Source organism: Homo sapiens, chromosome 5, assembly GCF_000001405.40.
Source record: "Homo sapiens chromosome 5, GRCh38.p14 Primary Assembly".
NCBI lineage: Eukaryota > Metazoa > Chordata > Mammalia > Primates > Hominidae > Homo > Homo sapiens.
Genome location: NC_000005.10, coordinates 4,885,109 through 4,894,097, shown reverse-complemented (window position 1 = coordinate 4,894,097; position 8,989 = coordinate 4,885,109). Strand labels below are relative to the sequence as shown.

Genomic DNA, 8,989 nt, shown 5'->3' with positions numbered 1-8,989 from the left:
TCCCGTTTCCTTCCTTTAGATGAGTTCTCGTGACTCCCAGCACCTCCCTGAAAAGTCCTTTGTGGTTTTTCCCTCTCCCCTCTTTCCTCTTGTGCCACACAGCACAATAAGACAAAGGTGAATGGTGATTTACTTACATCCCAAGTATAATTCCAATAAAATACCTTTCTCAGAATCCCATATTTCATGTAAGAAAATATCTTTGTAACATTCATAAAATGTTTTATAGGCCAAACAACTAAATACACAACTAAACATAAAATCATAGGGATATACAAACAGTTGATAAAATAATCCTTCACAGAGAATTTGAGTTATATCCATATAATTTCAATTCTATGCTTAGTAGTGGAAATACAAGTCATTTGGATACAATTTTTAAAATTGCAATTATTGGATTCCGTTCCAAGATGGCCAAATAGGAACAGCTCTGGTCTGCAGCTCCCAGCATGATTGATGCAGAAGATGGGTGATTTCTCCCTTTCCAACTGAGGTACCTGGTTCATGTCATTGGGACTGGTTGACGTGGGTGCAGCCCATGGAGGGTGAGCCGAAACAGGGTGGGGTGTCGCCTCACCAGGGGTCAGGGGATTTCCCTTTCCTAGCCAAGGGAAGCCATGACAGAGTGTACCTGGAAAAATGGGACACTCCTGCTCAAACACTGTGCTTTTCCCATGGTAGTAGCAACCAGTTGACCAGGAGGTTCTCTCCCGTGCCTGGTTTGGCAGGTCCCATGCCCATGGAGTCTTTCTCACTGCTAGCACAGCAGTCTGAGATCGACCTGCAAGGCTGCAGCCTGGTAGGGGGAGGGGCATCCGCCATTAATGAGGCTTGAGTAGGTAAACAAAGTGGCCAGGAAGCTCAAACTGGGTGGATCCCACTGCAGCTCAGCAAGGCCTACTGCCTCTGTAGACTCCACCTCTGTGGGCATGGCATAGCTGGACAAAAGGCAGCAGAAACTTCTTCAGACTTGAACGTTCCTGTCTGACAGCTCTGAAGAGAGCAGTGGTTCCCCCAGCACGGTGTTTGAGCTCTGAGAACAGACAGACTGCCACCTCAAGTGGGTCCCTGACTCTGTGTAGCCTAACTGGGAGACACCTCCCAGTAGGGGCTGACTGACACCTCATACAGGCAGGTGCCCCTCTGGGATGAAGCTTCCAGAGGAAGGATCAGGCAGCAATATTTGCTGTTCTGCAGCCTCCACTGGTGATACCCAGGCAAACAGGGTCTGGAGTGGACCTCCAGCAAACTCCAACAGACCTGCAGCTGAGGAACCTGATGGTTAGAAGGAAAACTAACAAACAGAAAGGAATAGCATCAAAATAAACAAAAAGGACATCCACACGAAAGCCCCATCTGTAGGTCACCAACATCAAAGACCAAAGGTAGAAAAAACCACAAAGATGGGGAGAAACCAGAGCACAAAAGGTGGAAATCCTAAAAACCAGAGCAGCTCTTCTCCTCCAAAGGATCACAGATCCTCACCAGCAACGGAACAAAGCTGGATGGAGAACGACTTTGACAAGTTGACAGAAGATGGCTTCAGAAGGTCGGTAATAACAAACTTCTCTGAGCTAAAGGAGCATGTTCTAACCCGTCACAAGAAAGCTAAAAACCTTGAAAAAAGGTTAGACGAATGGCTAACTAGAATGAACAGTGTAGAGAAGTCTTTAAATGACCTGATGGAGCTGAAAACCATGGCATGAGAACTTCGTGACTCAGGCACAAGCTTCAATAGCTGATTCGATCAAGTGGAAGAAAGGATATCAGTGACTGAAGATCAGATTAATGAAATAAAGTGAGGAGACAAGTTTAGAGGAAAAAAAAGAGTAAAAAGAAATAAACAACACCTTCAAGAAGTATGGGACTATGTGAAACAAATCTACATTTGACTGGTGTACACGAAAGTGATGGGGAGAATGGAACCAAGTTGGAAAGCACTCTTCAGGATATTATCCAGGAAAACTTCCCCAACCCAGCAAGGCAGGCCAATATTCATATTCAGGAATACAGAGAACACCACGAAGATACTCCTCAAGAAGAGCAACCCCAAGACATATAATTGTCAGATTCATCAAGGTTGACATGAAAGAAAAAATATTAAGAGCAGCCAGAGAGAAAGATCGGGTTACCCACAAAGGGAAGCCCATCAGACTAACAGCAAACCTCTTGGCAGAAACCCTACAAGCCAGAAGAGAATGGGGGCCAATATTCAACATTCTTAAAGAAAAGAATTTTCAACCCAGAATTTCGTATCCAGCCAAATTAAGCTTCATAAGTGAATGAGAAATAAAATCCTTTACAGAGAAGCAAATGCTGAGAGATTTTGTCACCACCAAGCCTGCCTTACAAGAGCTCCTGAAGGAAGCACTAAACATGGAAAGGAACAACCAGTACCAGCCACTGCAAAAACATGTCAAATTGTGAAGACCATCAATACTATGAAGAAACTGCTGGACAAAATAACCAGCTAACATCACAATGACAGGATCAAATTAATACATAACAATATTAACCTTAAATGTAAATGGGCTAAATGCCCCAGTTAAAAGACACAGACTGCCAAATTGGATAAACACTCCAGACCCATCGGTGTGCTGTATTCAGGAGACCCATCTCACATGCAGAGACACACATAGGCTCAAAATAAAGGGACGGAGGAAGATCTATCAAGCAAATGAAAAGCAAAAAAAAGCAGGGGTTGCAATACTAGTCTCTGACAAAACAGACTTTAAACCAACAAAGATCAAAAGAGACAAAGAAGGCCATTACATAATGGTAAAGGGTTCAATTCAACAAGAAGAGCTAACAACTATCCTAAATATATATGCACCCAATACAGGAGCACCCAGATTCATAAAGCAAGTCCTTAGGGACCTACAAAGAGACATAGACTCCCACACAATAATAATGAGAGACTTTAACACCCCACTGTCAATATTAGACAGATCAATGAGACAGAAGGTTAACAAAGATATCCAGGACTTGAACTCAGCTCTGCACCAAGCAGAACTAATAGACATCTACAGAACTCTCCACACCAGATCAACAGAACATACAATCTTCTCAGCACGACATCGCACTTATTCTAAAATTGACCACATAATTGGAAGTAAAACACTCCTCCACAAATGTAAAAGAACAGAAATCACAAAAAATTTCCTCTAAGACCAGAGTGCAATCAAATTAGAACTCAGGATTAAGAAACTCACTGAAAACCACACAATTACTTGGAAACTGAACAACCTGCTCCTGAATGACTACTGGGTAAATAACGAAATGAATGCAGAAATAAAGATGTTCTTTGAAACCAATGAGAACAAAGACACAATGTACTAGAGTCTCTGGGACACATTTAAAGCAGTGTGTAGAGGGAAATTTATAGCACTAAATGCCCACAAGAGAAAGCAGGAAATATCTAAAATCAATACCTTAACATTACGATTAAAAGAACTAGAGAAGCAAGAGCAAACCAATTCAAAAGCTAGCCGAAGGCAAGAAATAACTAAGATCAGAGCAGAACTGAAGGAGATAGAGACACAAAAAACCCTTCAAAAAATCAATGAATCCAGGAGCTGGTTTTTTTAAAAGATCAACAAAATTGATAGACCGTTAGCAAGACTAATAAAGAAGAAAAGAGAGAAGAATCCAATACATGCAATAAAATTTGATAAAGGGGATATCACCACTGATCCCACAGAAATACAAACTACCATCAGAGAATACTATAAACACCTCTACGCAAATAAATTAGAAAATCTAGAAGAAATGAATGAATTCCTGGACACATACACCCTTCCAAGACTAAACCAGGAAGAAGTTGAATCTCTAAATAGACAAATAACAGTCTCTGAAATTGAGGCAATAATTAATAGCTTATCAACGAAAAAAAGTCCAGGACCGGACAGATTTACAACTGAATTCTACCAGAGGTGCAAAGAGGAGCTGGTACCATTCCTTCTGAAACTATTCCAATCAGTAGAAAAAGAGGGAATCCTCCCTAACTCATTTTATGAGGCCAGCATCATTCTGATACCAAAGCCTGGCAGAGACATAACAAAAAAAGAGTATTTTAGACCAATATCCCTGATGAATATTGATGCAAAAATCCTCAATAAAATAATGGCAAATCAAATCCAACAGGACATCAAAAAGCTTATTCACCACAATCAAGTCAGCTTCATCCCTGGGATGCAAGGCTGGTTCAACATACGCAAATCAATAAATGTAATCCATCACAAAACGGAAGCAACGACACAAACCACATGATTATCTCAATAGCTGCAGAAAAGGCCTTTGACAAAATTCAACAACGCTTCATGCTAAAAACTCTCAATAAACTAGGTATTGATGGAAAGTATCTCAAAATAATAAGAGCTATTTATGACAAACCCACAGCCAATATCATACTGAATGGGCAAAAACTGGAAGCATTCCCTTTGAAAATCAGCAGAAGACAAGGATGCCCTCTCTCTCACCACTACTATTAAACATAGTGTTGGAAGTTCTGGCCAGGGCAATCAGACAAGAGAAAGTCATACAGGGTATTCAATTAGGAAAAGAGGAAGTCAAATTGTCCCTGTTTGCAGATGACATGATTGTATATTTAGAAAACCCCATCATCTCAGCCCAAAATCTCCTTAAGATGATAAGCAACTTCAGCAAAATTTTAGGATACAAAATCAATGTGCAAAAATCACAAGCATTCCTATCCACCAATAACAGTCAAACAGAGAGCCAAACCATGAGTGAACTCCCATTCACAATTGCTACAAAGAGAATAAAATACCTAGGAATCCACCTTACAAGGAATGTGAAGGACCTCTTTCAGAACTACAAACCACTGCCAATAAAATAAAAGAGGACACAAACAAATGGAAGAACATTCCATGCTCATGGATAGGAAGAATCAATATTGTGAAAATGGCCATACTGCCCAAGGTAATTTATAGATTCAATGCCATCCCCATCAAGCTACCAATGACTTTATTCACAGAATTAGATAAAACTACTTTAAAGTTCATATGGAACCAAAAAAGAGCCCGCATTGCCAAGACAATCCTAAGCAAAAAGAACAAAGCTGGAGGCATCACGCTACCTGACCTCAAACTATACCACAAGCCTACAGTAACCAAAATAGCATGGTACTAGCACCAAAACAGATATACATACCAATCAAACAGAACAGAAGGCTCAGAAATAACACCACACATCTACAACCATCTGATCTTTGACAAACATGACAAAAACAAGCAATGGGGAAAGGATTCCCTATTTAATAAATGGTGCTGGGAAAACTGGCTAGCTATACGTAGAAAGCTGAAACTGGATCCCTTCCTTACACTTTATACAAAAATTAATTCGAGATGGATTAAAGACTTAAATGTTCGACCTAAAACCACAAAAACCCTAGAAGAAACCCGAGGCAATACCATTCAGGACATAGGCATGGGCAAGAACTTCATGAGTAAAACACCAAAAGCAATGGCAACAAAAGCCAAAATAGACTAATGGAATCCAATTAAACTAAAGAGCTTCTGCACAGCAAAAGAAACTACCATTGGAGTGAACAGGCAACCTACAGAATGGGAGAAAATTTTTGCAATCTACCCATCTGACAAAGGGATAATATCCAGAATCTACAAGGAACTTAAATTTACAAGAAAAAAACAACCCCATCAAAAAGTGGGCAAAGGATATGAACAGACACTTCTCAAAAGAAGACATTTATGCAGCCAACAGACACATGAAATAATGCTCATCATCACTGGTCATTAGAGAAATGCAAATCAAAACAACAATGAGATACAATCTCACACCTGTTAGAATGGCAATCTTTAAAAAGTCAGGAAACAACAGATGCTGGAGAAGATGTAGAGAAATAGGAATGCTTTTACACTGTTGGTGGGAGTGTAAACTAGTTCAACCATTGTGGAAGACAGTGTGGCGATTCCTCAAGGATCTAGAACTAGAAATACCATTTGACCCAGTGATCCCATTACTGGGTATATACCCAAAGGATTATAAATCACTCTACTATAAAGATACACGCACACGTATGTTTACTGTGACACTATTTACAATAGCAAAGACTTGGAACCAACCGAAATGTCCATCAATGATAGACTGGTTTAAGAAAAGGTGGCACATATACACCATGGAATACTATGCAGGCATAAAAACCAAAGAGTTCATGTTCTTTGCAGGGAAATGGATGAAGCTGGAAACCATCATTCTGAGCAAACTATCCCAAGGACAGAAAACCAAACACTGCATGTTCTCACTCATATGTGGGAATTGAACAATGAGAACACTTGGACACAGGGCAGGGAACATCACACTTCAGGGCCTCTTGGGGGTTGGGGGACTGGGGGAGAGATAGCATTAGGAGAAATACCTAATGTAAACGATGAGTTGATGGGTGCAGCACACCAACATGGCACATGTATACCTATGTAACAAATCTGCATGTTGTGCACATGTACCCTAGAACTTAAAGTATAATAAATAAATAAATAAATAACAAAAACAAATAATAAATAATAAAATCTGAAAAAAAGTAACAGCTAGGAATAGCACCCATATCTTAGGTATGTTCTCACTTTGTTAGGGTTGACACTCTAGGATCACATTAAATGTAGCCTTAAACAAACCAACAAACAAAATTGCAATTATTATCTGATCTTTCCTACAAATGCACACAGCATGTACCTGCACGGCTCAATGTAAAATAATAATTATGAGTTACTTTTGATCTGAATTTCTTCAGAATTACAATACTAATCTTTCAATTGTATATCGTATTATTATTAAATTAAATATAATTAAGATTAAATATTAAATCTGAAAACCAACAGGAGACAAAAAGGTAAAGCAAATCCTAATGTATTCAGAGTCTACTTTACCAGATACCATTTTGATAAACAACTTAGGTCCCTTGTTCAAGTGGAACGTCCACTTCGCAAAGGAAAGCTAGAGCCACTACCTACAGAAATGCTCCAGATGAAGGGGAGCAGAGTTTCAAAGGCAAGGATAAGCTTCTCAGGCCATCGGGCCCCTTGGAGCCTGAAGCGCAATGTCCAGCAGGCAGTTTCAAGAATGTGTCTGTCCTTTCAAGGAAAGTACGTGGCATGGAAGATGCGTGTGTGTGTGTGTGTGTGTGTGTGTGTGTGTGTTATGGGGCCACAAAACCCTTTTTGCTGGCCTTGAGGAATCCCTGGATCCCCCAGGTTGTCAAGAGCACAGATCGAAAACCGCTGGCAAACAAAATTTGGGATGTGAGCTGGTTAAACTCAGCCACCTCTCTGAGCTGTGACAGACATCAACGGGCAACACCCAGCACCACGTGGCTTGGCGCTGGGGAGCCATTTCCATTTCAGATCCTAATAGAAAATGCCCCTCTTCTATTCAGAGGCCTGCACTTAGCCCTCCTTGTTCATTTGCCGGATAAATGATGAGAATCCTGCTTTGCTGTTTCTCTGGATGTCGTCTCTGATGCCCACGTTGCCGTGACTTATGGCCTTTTTTCATGCCTTATCTTAATGAATTGCTCTTCGGAATATGATGTTTATTGCATTTTCTTATCACTCACCCTTGCTGACTTTGGGGACACTCTTCTCTCCTGGTTCTCCATGGACTTCGCTGTCTGTTTTGTCTCATTAAAGAATTCTCTTCCTCTGATCTCTCTCGGTAGACGGTGGTGATCCTAAGGGCTCCATCCTCGAGCCACTACACATCACGGCTGTTCCCTAAGGAAAATCTCTACCAGGGGAGCCCAGGCCCTCCTGAGGTTTCTTTTCTTGTAAAGTGACAACACACACATGCACACACACACACGCCCAGAAGTGCATACGCACACACACACACACATTCCGTGCCGTGGGCTCTCCCTGAAATATCAGAGGCATTCTTGGAACTTCCTGCTGGACTCTGTGCTTCAGGCTTGAAGGGGCTCTTGGCGGCAAGAGCTTATGCTTGCCTGGCTTCAGGTGATGAGCCTCCTTGTCCAGCACCCATCCTCACTTCTCTCTGCCTTCTCACACTTGCTGTGATTGGTGAGCTTGCGCAGAAACAATAGACCACATGGGGCTCCAGCTCTGCTGAGTCCTCCTTGGAGCTCCTATGTCTGCAGAGATTCTGGGTTCTCGACTACTCTCTGGGCCATGCACAGCAAGGGGAGATATTGATGAGCACACCTGAATCTACTTCTAAGCCCCGTCTTCCTGTAGAGCTCTTATCAATAATATCTCACACATTTCCAACTGACTGACACCTCCATTTATTTCTCAATGGATTCCAAGCTCAAGTAAGGAAGAGAGATTCTATTTATTGGGATCCTAAATCCTCAACAATTATTCAAACTCCGAATAATAAGGACCAGGCATGTCCTCCTTCTCCCAAATGTGTCACTCTATCCACACTTACCTACTTCAGCAACCTGAGGTCAATCTCAACACCCTCTGCACTCACGCTCTTCACCTCTAATTGATCTCTAACTTCTATCCTTTTTCTAAGTATTTCTTTAAACTTCTCTCTTCCAATTTCAATTACTAGCACCCCAGTTTAGAGCCTACAAGATGACTCGAAATAGCTTCAGTCAACACAGGAACCTACTGGCTCATTTGATCAAAATGCCCAGGGGTTGAGCTCATTTCTCATTTGCAGGCTCCAAGGACCCCTGTGTCCGGCTCACCCTGCTGCTGTGGACAGGAGCTTGCACCCTTGGTAGCTGTAGAAGCCTTCTTACAGTCCCCACCCAGCTCCCCACCTTCAACCTTTTTCACTCCTGACCCTGGTCTTTCTTCCATTGTGGTGAATCTTCAGCAAACAGTAGTGTACTCATATGCTTCTCCATCCACTTCTGCTCACACAGCTTCTTTTTCTGGAAGGTGGCTTTTGTTTTCTTCCTGTGGCCAAGACTACTTGTACTCAAAAACTCAATTTCTTTTCTCCATTAACTCTTTCTTCCTAGAAAACCAGATATCCACCT

General features: G+C 41.5%; 1 annotated feature.

The window, feature by feature from the left end:
• Nucleotides 803-1,304: an enhancer, noted in NCBI's record as "H3K27ac hESC enhancer chr5:4892907-4893408 (GRCh37/hg19 assembly coordinates)". NCBI's record gives its function as "activates a minimal SCP1, AML or CMV promoter by ChIP-STARR-seq in naive H9 embryonic stem cells {active_cell/tissue: H9 hESC(naive)}" and the evidence as "EXISTENCE:reporter gene assay evidence [ECO:0000049][PMID:30033119]".